This window comes from Homo sapiens, chromosome 5 (genome assembly GCF_000001405.40).
Source record: "Homo sapiens chromosome 5, GRCh38.p14 Primary Assembly".
In the NCBI taxonomy this organism is placed as follows: Eukaryota; Metazoa; Chordata; class Mammalia; order Primates; family Hominidae; genus Homo; species Homo sapiens.
In genome coordinates, this window is record NC_000005.10 from 176,309,899 (window position 1) to 176,328,242 (window position 18,344).

Here is an 18,344-nt window from a genome sequence, read left to right on the forward strand (position 1 = left end):
CACTCCAACCTGTGTAACAGAGTGAGGCCTTGTCTCAAAAAAAAGGCCACAAAAACTCAACAATAAAAACAAACAGTCCAATTAGAAAATGGGCAAAAGACGTGAATAGATGGTTCACTGAAGAGGATCTATAGATGGCAAGTAAGCATATGAAAAGCTGTTAAACTCCATAAGTCATCAGGGAATGCAAATTGAAACCACAGTGAGGCTATGACTTACTTATCTGAATGGCTAAAGAAAAAATAGTAAAAATACCAAATACTAATGAGGATACAAACTGGATATTTTATACATTGCTGACAGGAATGTAAAATGGTACAGCCCCTCTGGAAAAGAGTTTATAAATTTCTTATCGAGTTAAGCATAATTTTTTAATCAAGTTAAACATAAGACCCAGCAGTTGTGCTCCTGGACATTCATTCCAGAGAAATGAAAACCTATATTGTACTTGTACCCAAATATTCATAGGAGCTTTATTTGTAATAGCCCCAAACTGGAAACAACCCAGATGTCCTACAACAGGTACGTGGTTAAACAAACCATCCATAACTTGGAATACTGCTCTGGAATGAAAAGGAACTAACTGTTGGTTACAAGAACTTGGTTGTACCTCAGGGGTATTATGGTGAACAAAAAAAGCCAGTCTCAAATGGTCACATAATGTATGATTGCATTTATATAACATTCTTGAGGTGACAAAATTATTGAAATGAAGAACAGATTAATGGTTGCCAGGGATAGGGACTGGAGGAGGTGTGGGGTATGTATGACTATAAAGGGATGACGCAAGGAGTTCCTTTGTGCTGATGGAACAGTTCTATATGATTATGATGATTATGATGTTGATTATAACATTTGATTATGAGGTTAAGCACATGAGTCTTTACCTGTGCTGAAGTTGTATGGACCTACATACACACAAATGAATGCATGTAAAATCTGGTGATAATGAATAAAGTCTGTAGTCTAGATAGCAAAAAATAAAAATAAAAAATAAAAAAGCAATGAGCTATTGATGCATACCATTAATATGGGCAGACGTTAAAAAAAATAAGCTAAGTGAAAGAAACCACACACAAAACATTACATATTATATGATTCTATTTCTAAGAAATGTTTAGAAAAGGCAGATCTAGAGAGACAGAAAGCAGATGAGTGGTTGCCTTGGCCTAATGATTGGAAAGGGAACTGTAAGTGCCCATGAGGGATCTTGTGGGGTAATGGAAATGTTCTAAAAAGTAGATTATGGTAATGTTTGCACAACTCAGTAGGTTTACTACAAATCATTGAATTGTACTTTTAAAATGGCTGAATTTTATGGTATGCTAATAAAGTTGTTTTATTTATTTATTTTTGAGACAGGGTCTCTTGCTCTGTCACCCAGGCTGGAGTGCAGTGGCATGATCATAGCTCATTGCAGCCATGACCTCTTGAACTCAAGTGATCCTCCTGCCTCAGCCTCCTAAGTAGCTAGGACTACAGGCACATGCTATCACGCCTGGATAATTTTTTTATTTTTATTTTTGTAGAGATGGGGGTCTCACTATGTTTCCGGGGCTGGTCTTGTTTCCTGGCCTCAAATGATCCTCCCACCTCAGCCTCCCAGAGTTCTGAGATCACAGGCATGAATGACTATGCCCAGCCCACATTATTTAAAAAAAAAAAGAGAGAAAGAATTATTTGGGGAAAATAGGTATTCTCAAGATTCAGCACTATTCTTGAGTTGAAAGAGATATAATTACAGGTAGTTAAAGGAGGGGAGAAAAAAACAAAACTCTAGAAAAACAAAAAAACTTCACAAGAAAGGAATGATTTTCTTAGTATACTATATGGATTTACTAAAAGTAGTTAGTAAACGTATTAGTAAATACTTTTAACAGAATCCTGACACTGTAAACACTATGTAGTTATAACATTTAGAATCAATTTATATACAAAGCATAGGAGACAATTTTATTAGCCTTGACGATGTAAAACGGAAAGTATAGAAGATAAAGTTTGGGAGATGAAAAGGGACAGGACCTCTGAAAATAGCAGGGCTGGTGTAACATCCTTATCTTCCAAAATGGGGAGTCAAGAGATACTGTCTATAGATGATGGAAATACACTTCTTTTAGGAAGAGAAGAGGTGGGGGATTGGCCTAAGTAAATTCTTATCTAGCATAGCAGAAAGCAATAGATAATGTCTACAGTTGATAAATCAAGAAATCATAATAAAAGCCTATTTCTTTAGAGATGTTTATGGTGACTTCTAGAAGAATGAGTTAAAAATTATTCTAGGATACTGGAGAACACAAGTAGTGGTGGAGAGTGGAGTCAGTAGAAGACTTTCTTTTTATCAAAAATCTAGCACAAGGCCAGGCGCAGCGGCTCACGCCTATAATCCCAACACTTTGGGAGACCGATGCAGGTGGATCACCTGAGGTCAGGTGTTCAAGACCAGCCTCACCATTATGGTGCAACCCTGTCTCTACTAAAAATACAAAAATTAGCCAGGCCTGGTGGCAGGCACCTATAATCCCAGCTACTTGGGAGGCTGAGGCTGGAGAATTGCTTGAGCCTGGGAGGCAGAGGTTACAGTGAGCCAAGATCGCGCCACTGCATTCCAGCCTGGGTGACAGACCAAAGACTCCATCTCAAAAAAAAAAAAAAAAAAAAAAAATCTAGCACAGGTACATGATTTTTTAAAAAAGCATTTGCATCAGTTATCAAGGATTAGAGAAAAATAAACACCTTTGGAAGACAAAGATATTGTCACCTCCTCCCAAAAAAGAAAGAAATGATATGTATTCAGAATGGTCACTTAGTTTCCTACTGACTGAATCATATCCTGGTCCATTAGTTTATGTTCTGAGAAAATATACCTATTCTCTGGAGTTCGGAGGTTTCCACATAGTCCAGAAATAGTTTGGTACCTTCTGGTTCTTTAAAGTTTGAAGCCTAAGCTCCCAGCACTTGTCTGGTAGTAAAGGGAAACCAACAAATTGTGCATGCTTGCCTACTATGTGACAGGTACTTAACACTGTCTTTGGTAAGGTTAGAATTATCCCCGTGTAAACTAGAAGGACAGTAAGTCCTAGAGGGCTTAAATAAAGGACAGAGCTAGGTCTAAAACAAACAGCAACAAAAACTGAATGCTGCGTGCCTCCAAAGCCCATGCTCTTTAACTGTTTGTCAGTTAGGATCATTTCACCTGTAACAGAATACCCAACTCAGGCTTGGCCCAACAGTCAAGTTGAGCCAAGCCAACAGACTTGGCTCAATCAGCTCGCATGACTGGAAGTTCATCAGTAGAGTGGACATCATGGCGGTTTGATCTAGCAGCACAGGAGTCATTAAAGAACCAGTTTCTCTTTCTCTGTTTTGCCATCTGTAGTTTTGGGTATATCCTGAGGTTGATAGGTTCAGTGAGAGGGAGAGATTGACTTCCCATGGCTGCCTCTTAAATCAAATGATCTACAATCCTAGAGATTCCAGTAGATATCTGATTGCAGCTTAGGTGTTAGAAAATTATAATTATCTGCAGATGCCTAGATCCTTTGAACAAGTAATAATACTTAAAAAATGGTTTCTGAAACCTTATAAGGTATGATTTTTTTCAGCAGTCACCCTATTTGTCCTCTCTCATAATGACCCAGACTACCTGCCCTCTCCTAGGAGCCTCTCTTTTAAGCACAGGCATACTTGTTGATGCATGGCCTTCTCTTGGGCTTAGTATTTATGAGAGCCCAATGTTGACTGTCATCCAAGAGACTGAGAAGAAAGACTGACTTCTCATTCTTTTTCCCACAGGGACAAACTCTGCCTGGGCGAGTCCTTTTCCTGCGTTATGTCGTTCAGACCCTAGAAGATGACTTTCAGCAGACCCTGAGGAGGCAACGGCAGCACCTGCAGCAATCCATTGCAAACATGGTGCTTTCCTGTGACAAGCAGCCCCACAATGTCAGGTAAGCAGCCACCTGAGCCCTCGGATGAGAAGAGGTAAGGGATTATAGGTGGGCAGCTGCTGAAGGCCAGAATATCAGCCAGGTGAGGTTTTCTAGTCAGTAGATAGTGTAATAGGGCTAATTTTTAAAACTATAGATAGACCAGGTGCAGTGATTCACACCTGTAATCCCAGTACTTTGGGAGGCCGAGGTGGGCGGATCATTTGAGGTCAGGAGTTCGAAACCAGCCTGGCCAACATGGCAAAACCACATCTCTACTAAAAATATACAAATTAGCAGGGCGTGGTGGCGTATGCCTGTAATTCCAGCTACTTGGGAGGCTGAGGTGGGAGAATCACTTGAACCCAGGAGGCAGAGGTTGCAGTGAGCCGAGATTGCGCCACTGTACTCCAGCCTGGGTGACAGAGCAAGACTCCATCTCAAAAATAATTAATTAATTTTTAAAAATAAAACTATAGCTAATCATAAACCCCTCCTGATAATCATAAAAGAAACCAACAATGTGGCAGGCACCACATAGCTTGAATGAGTTTTCTGTCAAGACCAACAGACTTCCTTTGGTCTATTTCAATATTGTCCAAACAACCTTGTGAAATCTAGGGGAAAGCCTTATATAAAACTTTTCAGTTTTTATTAACCTACATTTATTCCTATCCCCCGATGAACCTCAATATAAATCTCATTTGTCACTACTAGTTTCTGGAAAGTAATATCTATAACAATAGGTCATGTAGCTGACAGTAAGGTACATTAGATAGTAAGCATGTGTTCTTTTTTGCAGAATCAGAGTCAGAGTTTCTGGAAGCATGGAACTACTATATGCTTATACCAAGCGGGGGAAAATATGATCTTTAGGGTAGGGGATTGTGGGCTTGAATTTTCCTTTTGGAACTACAGATGGCCCTGACTCATGATGGTTTGGCTTAGGATTTTTTGACTTTACATTGGTACAGAACTGATAACCATTCAGTAGAAACTATACCTCAAGTACCCAACAAACATTCTGTTTTTCATTTTCAGTATAGTATTCAATAAATTAGATAAACTGTTCAACACTTTATTATAAAATAGGCTTTTGTGTTGCATGATTTTGCCCAACTGTAAGCTGTCAGTGTTCTGAGCACATTTAAGGTAGACTAGGCTAAGCTACAATGTTCGGTAGATTGGGTGCATTAAATGTGTTTTCAACTTAAAATATTTTCAACTTACAGTGGTGTCTTAGTCCCTTTGTTTTGCCATAAAGGAATGCCTGAGGGTGGGTAATTTATAAAGAAAAGAGGTTTATTGGCTTACAATTCTACAAGTTGTACAAGAAGCGTGGCTCCAGCATCTGTTTCTGGTGAGGGCATCAGGAAGCTTCTACTCATGACAGAAGGTGAAGGAGAGCTGGAGTATCACCTGGCAAGGGAGGAAGGAAGACAGGGGGCGGGGCTATGGTGCCAACCTCTGTCAAACAGTCGGCTCTCGAGTGAACTAATAGAGTGAGAACTCACTCGTTACCATGAGGACAGCACCAAGACAGTTATGAAGGATCTGCCTCCATGACCCAAACATCTTCCACTAAGCCCATCTCCAACACTGGAGATCACACCAACAGGAGATTTGGAGAGGTCAAATATCAAAGCTGTATCAGATGGGTTTATCCAGATGTAACCCCATCATAGGTTGAGCATCCGAACATCCCTTGCTTTTTTGGAAATGGCTCTTACTAGAAGGGTGTACCAGCGTCTCTTTGTTCAGAGCAGCATTGAAACTCTTCCACATTTACGCTCTCATATGTTCTGACATATTTGTTGAAAGTAGTATACACAGGTCAACATGGGGCAATGACTACGATAAATCCTCTAATAACAAGGAGGACGTTTCGTTATGTTTTGGGCATTGTTCAGTTTTCCCACCCCCTTAGTTTACATGCCCATATTTATTTCCCTATATGTGATATTTTTTCTAAAGATTAAATGTTAATAATTTTAGGGGTACAAAATCAGTAAGTAGAGAATCAACAGAGAGCACAAGACAGCATAGTTGAATTTTAAAGCAAAAAATTGGCCGGGTACAGTGGCTCACACCTGTAATCCCAGTACTTTGGGAGGCCAAGGCGGGCAGATCACCTGAGCCCAGGAGTTCAAGACCAGCCTGGCCAACACGGTGAAACCCTATCTCTACTAAAAATACAAAAATTAGCCAGGCATGGTGGCATGTGCCTGTAATCCCAGCTACTTGGGAGACCGAGACAGGAGAATTGCTTGAACCTGAGTGGCAGAGGTTGCAGTAAGCCGAGATCACACCACTGCACTTCAGCCTGGGTGACAGAGCGAGACTCTGTCTCAAAAGCAAATAAAAATAAATTTTAAAAAGTGAAAAATAATTTACATAATGAGAACAATTCCATCTACCATTATGCTTTGCGAGCCTAGGCATTAAGAGTGAGTGGGATACCCAAGGCACTGTTCTCTCAGTTGCTTTCATTTTCACCTCCTGTGGTGTGAGCCTCTCACTGTACGGGGTATGACTCTTGGGTTTAAAGATAGGCATTTAAGGCTGGGCGTGGTGGCTCACACCTGTAATCCTAACACTTTGGGAGGCCAAGGTGGGCAGATCACTTGAGGTCAGGAGTTCGACATGAGCCTAGCCAACATGGTGAAACCCCATCTCTACTAAAAAATACAAAAAAAAAAAAAAAAACCCAAAAAATTTGCCAGGCATAGTGCCAGGCACCTGTAATCCCAGCTACTTGAGAGGCTGAGGCAGGAGAATTGCTTGAACCCAGGAGGTAGAGGTTGCAGTGAGCTGAGATCGCGCCATTGCACTCCAGCCTGGGCAACAAGAGGGAAACTCTGTCTCAAAAATAAATAAAGGCATTTTGGGCTGCACATGGTGGCTGAGGCCTGTAATCCCAGCACTTTGGGAGGCCAAGGTGGGCGGATCACATGAGGCCAGGAGTTTGAGACCAGCCTGGCCTCAAAACCCCACCTCTACTAAAAGTACAAAAACAGCCAGGCATGGTGGTGCACTTCTGTAATCCCAGCTACTTGGGAGACTGAGGCATGAGAATCATTTGAACCTGGGAGGCAGAGGTTGCAGTGAGCCAGGATTGCACCACTGCAATTCAGCCTGGGCAACAGAGGAAGACTCTATCTCAAAAACAACAACAACAAAGATAGGCATTTTTGAGGGGTGTTTGTGACCTCTAAATCTAGGCCAGGTCCTCTGTTTTGTGCTTACTCAATGAAAAAAATCATTTGTTTCAGTTGGCAGGAAAATGAGCTATCTTTGATTCATTAAGAAATGGATATTAGACTGAGTTGGTGATTACAAGGATGTATGCATATATTTATCTAAATTCATCAAACAAAACTTTGACAATTTATTGTATGTAAATTATACCTCAAAGAGGTATTTTTAAAAAGAGAGAGACATGATCATTCTCCATATGAACCCTTCTTAAGGGATTTTCTTTTCTTTCTTTCATTTTGAACTATGCATACAAAGAGTAGACTAGTTTCTACAAGACTTCAGAAATATACTTGTCTCCAGGTTCCCTCACCTGCATTCCTGTTTCTCTTTAATTGATTTTTTAAATATTTACCCCCATATGGCAAAATATACCCCCATATGGCAAAATAACATGCTTGCAGTGCTGCTTCTTGATTTTTCATTGTTAGCCATTATCTGTTGACTTCTCACATGAAAAATAAGGAGTTCGCTCTTTTTCCTCCCCACATTCCCCATCACACACATATTTGCCAGCCTCTATATCATTAATATATTATAATTTTTATATCAGTGTTCAGTGTTTCTATTACTATGACTATGTGTGCTAGTCAGAATTTTACTAAGTACTAAACCGTGATTGCTTTTCCTTTCATTCATATCTTTTTGTTTTCCCTAAGGTTAATAATTATCCTATTTTTAAGTTTCTTGCTTTCCTTGTATGTATCAGAATTCAACCCCAAATTCTCTCCTAGTTGTGTTACCGGTGGAGGGTGTCTAGGTTCTTGGCATCTTGAACAAAGAACTGGACAAAATGTACAAACAAAGCAAGGAAAAATGAAGCAACAAAAGCAGAGATTTGTTGAAAATGAAAGCACACTCCACAGGGTAGGAGCAGGCCCGAGCAAGCAACTCAAGAGCCTGGTTACAGAATTTTCTGGGGTTTAAATACCTTCTAGAGGTTTCCCATTGTACTTGATGTACAACCTATGTAAATGAAGTAGTGGCCCACCATCAGTTCGATTAGTTGTGGGAGGGGACAAATCAGAGGCTGAAGTGAAGTTACAAAGTTATACTCCTATGCAAATGAAGACTTGGCCCATGACCAGCCTGATTGGTTGTGGGAGGGGACCAGTCAGAGGTACTTTCAATTTTTCATCTGCCACGCAGAAAAAGCAGGGAGGCGGGCAAGGTTGCAAAGGGAGAAGCCTCTGGTCCTTTTGTTACTTGGGCATGGAAAATTGGGGTTTTCCTTTTGATTTAGTTCTAGGAATTCAACATGAATTGGCCTTAGGTTCCCTGCCTCCAGACCCTATTTTCTTGCCTCAGTTGGTCTCAATATCCCCTCAAGATATTTATTCACACTGGATTGTCCTACTAGTTTCTTCTCAAAAATCTGAGGTAGAATGTTTTGATCTCCTTCAATCTAGATCACTCGTCCTCTTTTCCAGTCTTCATCATAAATTTGAGAGTCCTCTTTAATGCTTTTCAAGACTGGATGACTTGTTTGTTTGTCCTGTCTTTTCTCTTTCATGGCTCATACCTTCATTTAAGGAATCCATTCCTAGTAGCTTTCTAAGAAAGGTGTATAGGAAGTAAAGTTTTTGAGATCTTGTTTGTCTGCGAATGTCTTTATCTTCTCATACATTGATTGATAATTAGACTGAGGATAGATGATTTGCTTAGAAATAACTTTTCTACAGAACATCAGAGGAAATCTTTCATTGTCTTCTAGCTTCCAGAATTGCTGTTAAGAAATGGTAAGTAGTCGGGCGTGGTGGCTCACGCCTGTAGTCCCAGCACTTTGGGAGGCCGAGGTGGGTGGATCACTTTGAGCTCAGGTGTTCAAGACCAGCCTGGGCAACATGGCAAAACCCCATCTCTACCAAAACCACAAAAAATTAGCTGGGCTTAGTGGCACACACCTGTGGTCCCAGCTACTCGGAAGGCTGAGATAGGAGGATCACTTGAGCCTGGGTGGCAGAGGTTGCACTGAGCTGAGATCGTGCCACTGCACTCCAGCCTGGGTGTCAGAGCAAGACCCTGTCTCAGGGGGAAAAAAAGAAGTCATAAGCTATTTTGATTACTGATTCTTTGTATGTGCCCTGGTTTTTCCCTGTGGAAGTTTGTAAAGTTCTCTTTTTGCCAAATGTGCTTATCCTAGGTTTATATTCATCCATTGGGTTGGGCATTCAGTGGGCCATTTCAGTCTGGAAAAATGTCCTTCATTTCTAATAAACAGGATTTTTCACTTTTGTAATTATCTTTCTAATTTCCAAGAGCCCTTTTATTTTTTCTCTGTGTCTTCCTTATTAAAATTAATAAATAAGCCAGGCATGGCGGCATGTGCCTGTAGTCCCAGCTACTGGAGAGGCTGAGGCAGGAGGATCGCTTGAGCTCAGGAGTTCAGTGAGCTGTGATGGCACCACTGCACTCCAGCCTGGACAACGGAGCAAGCCCTCATCTCTAAAAAATAATAATAATAGGCTGGGCACAGTGGCTCAGGCCTGTAATCCTAGCACTTTCAGGGGCCAAAGTGGAAAGATGACTTGAGGCCAGGAGTTCAAGACCAACCTGGGCAACATAGCAAGACCCTGACTCTGCAAAAGAAAATAATATAAACTGTATTCTTATTTTCTTCTTTCCTGGATCCATGTCATCTCGTATCTTTGATTTTGCTAATCAGAATTTTCATTTTTGTTTATTCTCTGTTTCTCTTCTACATAATGTCTGTTTTCTCCAAGTTGCTTTTTTGGGAGGAAGGAGAGGGTATTTTGGTCTCTATCTCTTTATGTTAAAAGCTTTCCATAGATGTCTGGTAAACCTTGGTAGTTTATAGTCTATCCATATTTAAAGGTGCGAGACTCAAAAGATAATGGAAGCTCTGAAGACAATAAGAGGACTTGTCATTTCTGCACTTCCCTCTAGGTGGAACTGATTTCTCATTTCTAAGAAAATTTCTTGAGTCAAGGTCTTTCCTCTTGCGCTGGTTCGGTTTTACAGAGAGGACATCCAACCTCTTACATGAAGGATAAAGACAGGATGCCAAGGTTTTGGAAGACACGTGTGAGAAGATAGCAAGGGTCTCTGCATTCAGCATGCCTATGTTCATTTAGTGCCCCATTTGCTTCAGTGTCTGCTTCTAAGCCGTGCCTGGTATCCCAGTCCAGAGACCATCTGTTTTACCTCTCCACAAAGTTAACTTGTAGTCTGCAGGATTGGGGAAGTTCTAGAGGTCTAAAAATTTATTAAACAGCTTTCAAGCCATCCTATTTTATTTATTTATTTATTTATTTATTTATTTATTTATTTATTTATTTATTTTGAGGCGGAGTCTCACTCTGGTTGCCCAAGGCTGGAGTGCAGCAACCCGATCACAGCTCACTGCAGCTTTGACCTCCCTGGGGTCAGGTGATCCTCCCACCTCAGCCTCTTGGGTAGCTGGGACTACTGGCACGTGCCACCACGCCCTGCTAATTTTTAGTATTTTTAGTAGAAACAGGTTTTCACCATTTTGCCCAGGCTGGTCTCAAACTCTTGGACTCAAGCCATTTGCCCACTGCAGCTTCCCAAAGTGCTGGGATTACAAAGTGAGCCACCATGCCTGGCCGCCACCTACATATTTCAATTTACCCCTCTTTCAACACTTCAGAGAAACCTGGTGCTACCGCTTGCAGAGCTATTGAAGTTTTTTTTTTTTAAGTAAATAGGATTAAATAGGATAGCTCTTCTCTGCTGCTGGCTTAGGATTCAGCTTTCTCAATTCCACTAAGTCAATTAAAATGTATTCCTTTGCCTAATTCATAGGCTTGGATTAAACGTCATCTTAAAACATGGCACAGTGGCTTTATTTGCTCAGTTAATTGGTTGCTTTTAATTTTGTAATCAGCATCTCTCAACCTACTCCCAAATCAAAGACTAAGCCCTTGACAATTACCTCACCCCTCATCCATCAGCCTGAGCAACATAGCCAGAACCCATCTCTACACCCCTCATCACCCACCTTGCACCCAGGTGATCATCATTCTGCATGGTCATCATTTCATTTCTTTCCTTTCTATGTAGTTGTATTGCATATACATGTATTCCTATAAAATATATTTTTTTACTTTAGTTCCTTTAGCTCTATATTAAAAGGTATCATGCTATATGTAATCTATTGAGAATTTTATTTTTCACTTACTGTTTTATAGTACCAAGATTTGTCCATATTGTTGCCTGTCACTGTAGTTTATTTATATTGATAGTCATATTCATACTCATATCCTTCATTTGCCTTCCACCTTTCAAAATTTCACTGCTATCACCTGGGAGGCGGAGCTTGCAGTGAGCCGAGATCGCACCACTGCACTCCAGCCTGGCGACAGAGCGAGACTCTGCCTAAAAAAAAAAAAAAACTCACTGCTATTCATCTTCTCTCCTCTTCTCTTCTTCCTTGTGGATATTTTTCAAAAGTTATTTATTATAATATTAGTGGGGTTTTAGGAGGAAACAAAATTCGGTGTGTATATTAAATCTACTATTTTTACCTAGGTTACCTAAGTGATCATTAAAAGTAGTTTTGACTGTATGTTTTTACCTTATTAACTTGTAGAGCCTCAGCCCTGTATAAAGTGTGATTCCACTGCACACACTCTAAACCTTAGTTGTTAACATTAATAGGTGACAATAATATAGAGCTGGCAAGGACTTCTGTGGTCACCCAGTCTAACTTTCCACTTGGTTTAGGAATGTTCCTGGTCAGGAAGGCACAGATAGTACTATTTTACCCTGAAGTTACCTTTGAATACTTACAATTCAAAGAAAAATGTTGATATTTTAGTTAGCTTTTTTTTTTTTTTTTTTTTTGTAGAGTTGGGTTCTTGCTGTGTTGCTCAGGCTGGTCTCAAACTCCTGGTCTCAAAAGATCCTCCCACCTCAGCCTCCCAAAGTGCTGGGATTACAAGCATCAGCCACCATACCTGGCCTTTAGTTGACTTTTACAGCCTTACTGCAGTTAAATGTGATGTTTTTATTAGACTTGTTTAATTATTGAAAATAGCCAGAGGGCCCTTTTGTTGCCTGTAGGGAAATCCAGGGATCTGGGGGCCCAGGTTAAGGCTATAGTTCTGAGCACCATAAATACAACAGACATGGAAACCTTTTCTTTCTTTATTTTTTTTTTCTGCACAGAAAAAGAAAGAATAAACCTTTTCTTTCTTTTTTCCATTACAGGGATGTTATCAAGTGGCTGGTCAAAGCAGTAACTGAAGATGGATTGACTCAGCCCCCAAATGGAAATCAAACGTCTTCAGGAACAGGAATCTTGAAAGCCAGCAGTAGCCACCCTTCTTCCCAGCCCAACCTGACAAAGAACACCAATCAGCTGTAAGGGGCAGGCAGTTCTCTTTCCTGGGGCTCTTGGGGTTTAGTGTTTTAGAGAGAACAACACCAATCCCTAAGAGCAGCTTCCCCCAAATTAACAAGATCTTAGAACATAGGCTGATGCTTATTCAAGACTTAGTTTAACTAGAGGCTAAATTTCTGATTTCAAAGGCAGAACAAAACCAGGTGCTTTCACCCCTAAAATGAATAGGACTTCACAAAGTGAATACGAAGTCACAACGCAGATGCAAAACAAATGCTAGAGGACACTGCCCTTCACTTCCTGCATTTCAGGAGACAGTAAAGGGTTACAGCTCCTCATCACTTCAGATATCTGTTGCCATAGAGAAGGAGTGGTGTGTAGTGTGAGTTTTGTTAACCTCGAGTCCTCAAGGACCTGGGTTTCTCTCCTCAGGTCCCGGGAGAAAAATAGCATTCAGCCTGCAGGTTCCAACACACCAGGGCAGGTATCATCACCGCAGACTGCACTGGAAAGAAATTCATGGCATTTCTTTTATGGAGTTGAGAGTGGTCTTGGCGTTTTTTGAGAGATGCCGGGAGATTAGGGGCTGGGGCTACCCTTGCACAAATAACCCAGTATTCCATGTCAATCATATTGTGAAAAGCCAGTCACACTGGGCATTTCAAATGTAACATTTGTGTCTGAATTCACAATGTTATAATCTGGTTGCACCAACCTGATTTTTATGGAAGACCTACAAGTTTAAATTGTTTCCTAAATTGTAAATAATTATAACTAATTTAGGAAACAATTTTATATCTAAAGGGGAATGTTTTGGAACAATGAAGCATTTGGACAGATTGAGGAAGGCCCTAAAGTAGCATTCTCCCACACGGGCCACATACAGACCCAAGAGGGAGGTGGACACTGTTCCTTCAATGGAAGCTAGTATCATATAACAATCATCATAATAAATGTTTATAAATACATGTTAGTAGAAATAACAATAGGGTCCCCTAAAAGTCAATTTTGTTATGATCTTAACAACAATAGTAGGTTGCTACCACTTATCACTAGAGAGTCCCTGTGAGATATTTTATATAGCACTCACAACTTTACAAAATAGATATTATTGCTCACCCTTTTTATAGATGAGAACACTTGGACTCAGGGCAGTTTAGTAACTTGTCGAAGGTTAAACAGCTTATCATTGTAGAGACAGAATCTGAGGCCAGAGCTGCTGGTCTGGCCCACCTGTTGTGTTACTAGCTGCAGATTTTCTTAAAGTAAAACCTTTCTTCCATCACAGATAACATGTGTTGCCGGGCGTGGTGGCTCACGCCTGTAATCCCAGCACTTTGGGAGGCCAAGGCGGGTGGATCATGAGGTCAGGAGATGGAGACCATCCTGGCTAACACGGTGAAACCCCGTCTCTACTAAAAAAATACAAAAAAATAGCCGGGCATGGTGGCGGGCACCTGTAGTCCCAGCTACTCAGGAGACTGAGGCAGGAGAATGGAGTGAACCTGGGAGGCGGAGCTGGCAGTGAGCCAAGATCGCGCCACAGCACTCCAGCCTGGGCGACAGAGCTAGACTCCATCTCAAAAAAAAAAAAAAAAAAAAAAAAAAACACGTGTTAGAAAAGGCTGATGTCAGGCCAGGCTCACCTTTCTGAGAGGTTGCCCCGACTCCTAATGCCACATCAGGCTGGCTCTCTCCCACAGTTAGATCTAATGGGAGAGAAGGTCAGGTTCCACCAGGGGAGGTTCTGAGACCGAACTTAGTAAGAAGCTATTGTAAAGGAAACAGTAACAGGAGAAAACTGTATGGCAAATACATATTTTCTCCTGTATCAAAGAAATTTAAATCATTTTAAGTCACTCTGGACCTGTTTCTTCATCTGCAAAACAGGGAAGTTATAGATTAGATGATCCTTATAGTTCCCTATATCCTTAAGGTTGTGTGGTTCTATTTTTGAATTTAAAAGCAGCTTGCTTTTACAGCTCAACCCCAGGTTCTGAGAGGTTCAAATAGTATGTTCTGGCAAAAGGGATTCAGGTAGGTGAAATTGCTAAATAAAAGCATGCTGATGGTTTGAGTAGTTCTCCCTGACCTTGTGTGTGCTTTATAAGATCCTTTAGTAGTCTCTACTCTCGATGTACACTGGTGGGGACCTCCTCCCAGCCAGAGAGTGGCTCCTTGCCAGACCCTCACACTCATCTGTGTCCTATGTTCTGGACTCAGGATTGTGTGCCAGCTTCAGAGGATGCTCTCCATAGCCGTAGAGGTGGACAGGACCCCCACCTGCAGCTCCAATAAAATTGCCGAGATGATGTTTGGGTTTGTGCTGGACATTCCTGAGAGGAGCCAGAGGTGAGTCTTGATTTTGTTGGGGAGAGCAGTTATTTAAAAAAAAAACAAAAAAAACTCTTGGAAATCATTTTTATTAAATTAACTTTTCTATCTATGCTACCTGTCAGGAACAGAATTTTACAAGAGAAAATTCCAAACTAATTAAGATAGGAAGAAAATAGTAGAAGGATTATTCTTATGTCTTTGACTTTTGGAAAGGAGGTTCTCAACTAATTATTATTATTTACAACTGAGATATAATTTCTTGGGAAGAGGCACAGTACCCTAAATGGAGGCTAAATTTTCTAACCTTATCAATTTGCCTAACAATTTTACTCTTCTTTCAATATTTAACTGTTAAGGGTGGGTGCAGTGACTCGTACCTGTAATCCCAGCACTTTGGGAGGACTAGGACTAGGCGAGCAGATCACCTGAGGTCAGGAGTTCAAGACCAGCCTTGGCCAACATGGTGAAACCCTGTCTCTACTAAAAATACAAAAATTAGTTGGGCGTGGTGGTGCACACCTATAATCTCAGCTACTCAGGAGGCTGAGACACGAAAATCGCTTGAACCAGGAGGTGGAGGTTGCAGTGAGCTGAGATTGCTCCACTGCACTCCAGCCTGGGTGACAGAGTGAGACTCCATCTCAAAAAAAATAAAAATAAAGGCCGGCTGTGGTGGCTCACACCTGTAATCCCAGCACTTTGGGAGACCAAGGCGGGCGGATCACGAGGTCAGGAGATCGAGACCATCCTGGCTAATGCGATGAAACCCCGTCTCTACTAAAAATACAAAAAAATTAGCCGGGTGTGGTGGTAGGCGCCTGTAGTCCCAGCTACTCAGGAGGCTGAGGCAGGAGAATGGTGTGAACCCTGGAGGCGGAGCTTGCAGTGAGCTGAGATGGCGCCACTGCACTCTAGCCTGGGTGACAGAGCGAGACTCCGTCTCAAAAAATAAATAATAAATTAATTACTTAATTAATTAAATAAATAATAAAAATAAAAATTTAACTGTTAAGCCCTGCCTTCTTCTCTTATCTTTATCCATAGGCCTGGCATAAGTGTTCACTAAAGGCTTGGTGGGTGAATGAAATAGATATATCCAATATTAGAGGAACTAGAGGTGACACAAGAATGAAAAGAGTTGGACCTATAGAATGACCCCAGATAGTAAGAATTAGGAATTCAGTTTCTCTAAACATGAATTAGTGAAGTATTTCATTAGGAAGGGATAAAGAAATGGTTTTTGGCTAAAAACAATGATTCCTTCCTTGACCCAGTAATTTTAAAATCCAGAGGAAGAAAACTAAACTAGAATGAATATGAATTCATGAACAATTGCTGGTACAGGAAATAAGTATAAGAGAGTCATTGCGTAGTGGTGACCCTTGGGGAAATTATGGTATATGTTTGTCTTCAGTGCATCTCCACCAGCTCCATGCGTGCTTCCCATCCCCATCCCTAAACTCCCAGCTGACAACCAAGACAACTATTGTGCAGCTTTGGTTTCTTCTATTACAAGAAAATGTCATGCCAAATAGTACTGGAATAGGACTTAATTAAAATACTCTGGTAAGATTGAGACATTTACTGAGTCCCTACAATGTGCCAGCCATTGTCACATTAATTATCTCATTTGTTTTCTGTTTTTTTTTTCTTTTTCTTTTTCTTTATAATTTAGAAACAGGGTCTTGCTATGTTGCCCAGGCTAGTTTTGAACTCCTGGGCTCAAGCAATCCTCCTGCCTCAGCCTCCCGAAGTTCTGGGATTACAGGCATGAGCCACCGCACCCAACCTTATTTATTTTTCTTATAATGTTATCCCTATTTATTTATTTATTTGTTTTGAGGCAGAGTCTCACTCTGTCACCCAGGCTGGAGTACAGTGGTGGGATCTCAGCTCACTGCAATCTTTGCCTCCTGGGTTCAAGTGATTCTCCTGCCTTAGCCTCCTGAGTGGCTGGGATTACAGGTGCATGCCCCTATACCCAGCTAATTTGTGTATTTTTAGTAGAGATGGGGTTTCACCATGTTAGCCAGGCTGGTCTCAAACTCCTGACCTCAGGTGATCTGCCCACCGCAGTCTCCCAAAGTGCTGGGATTACAGGCGTAAACCACCACACCTGGCAATGTTATCTCTATTTAATGAATAAGAAAAGCATTCAAAGAGGTGGAGTTAACTAGCCTAAGTTTATGTAGCTAATCAGGTTCAGAATCCAAATTTAAACCCAGGGCTGCTTAATCCCAAATTCAATATTCAAAGGAGGCAGTGTGTTGTACTGGTCAGACAGAAGAAAGTGCACATGAATACCATGCTTGCTCTAACACTTTGTCAGGAGTATTTCATTTGGGTCCAACTCCTCTACTATTCATTCATGTAAGCCCAGATGCTGGTAAGAAATGGGAAAGCTAAGGAATAGGTAACAAAAAAAAATTAGGAATTAAAACAGACAAACATGATTTATACAAAACCTGGCCCTACTTTAAAATTCTCTCAGAGGGGCAAATTGGCCACTCACCCAAATTATGCTAAAAGATACTTTACTTGGCCTTTACCTTGATTTATTTTAATTTTCTAAAGATTAAGTATAATTTACATACAATTAAATTATGTAAACTAGCTTGCATACATACCATCCAGTGAGTCTTGACAAATGCATATACCTTCTTGACCTATCATTTTCCAATTGCTCATTAGTAGTGTATAGAAACCCTGCAACCTTAATAAATTAACTTATTCTAGTAGGATTTTTGTTTGTTTTCCTTAGGATTCTCTACATACACAATCACGTTGTCTAAAAATACACTTTAACTGTATCCTTCCCAATCTGTGTATGCCTTTTGCTTGCTTTTTCTTGCCATACTGCATAGGCTAGAATCTCCAGGAAAATGTTGGAGAAGCAGTGAGAGTAGACATTATTGCCCCATTCCTGATCTTAGGGTGAAAACATTCAGTTTTTGACTATTAAGTGTGATGTTAGCTATAAATGTTTCATAGGTGCCCTTTGTCAGTTTGAGGGAGCTTCCTTCCATTTCTAGTGTATTATTTTTACGAAGAATAAGTATTGAAATTTGCCAAATATGTTGTCTCCATCTATTGAGATAATCATAGTTTTTCTTCTTTATTCTGTTGATGTGGTGTAATACACTGATTAATTTACTCACGTTAAACCAACTTTGCATTCCTGGAATAAAAACCCTACTTGGTTGTGATGTTATCCTTCTTATATATTGATGGATTCAAGTTGCTAATATTTTGTTAAGGATTTTTGCATCAATGTTTACAAGGGATATTGACCTGTAGTTTTATTTTCCTGTAATGTTTAATGTTTTCCATGTTTCCTTATGCATATTTAAAAGAAAGATAAGTTGGCCAGGCTGGTCTCGAACTCCTGACCTCAGATGATCTGCCCACCTCAGCCTCCCAAGATGCTGGGATTACAGGTGTGAGCCACCAGGCCCAGCCTTATGAACTGAATTCTAAAATAAGTTTAAAAAGCAAAATGC

The 18,344-nt window shown here is 40.6% G+C and overlaps 1 protein-coding gene across 8 annotated transcripts in view; it reads left to right on the top strand.

Annotated features, from left to right (window-relative positions):
* Positions 1-18,344, top strand: part of SIMC1 (SUMO interacting motifs containing 1) — a 107,566-nt gene that overhangs the window by 71,475 nt on the left and 17,747 nt on the right. For 7 of the 8 annotated variants that reach the window (NR_131772.2, NM_001308196.2, NM_001308195.2 and 4 more), the window contains 3 exons: positions 3,793-3,947; positions 12,375-12,527; positions 14,731-14,859. Coding sequence is in view for 7 of the 8 variants with exons in the window: in NM_001308196.2 (NP_001295125.1) it covers positions 3,793-3,947; positions 12,375-12,527; positions 14,731-14,859 (437 nt within the window). In the remaining variant the exon portion in view is untranslated. Of the gene's footprint in view, positions 1-3,225; positions 3,587-3,792; positions 3,948-12,374; positions 12,528-14,730; positions 14,860-18,344 lie in introns of those variants that run through there. The other variant, NM_001308200.2, reaches the window with a different exon arrangement.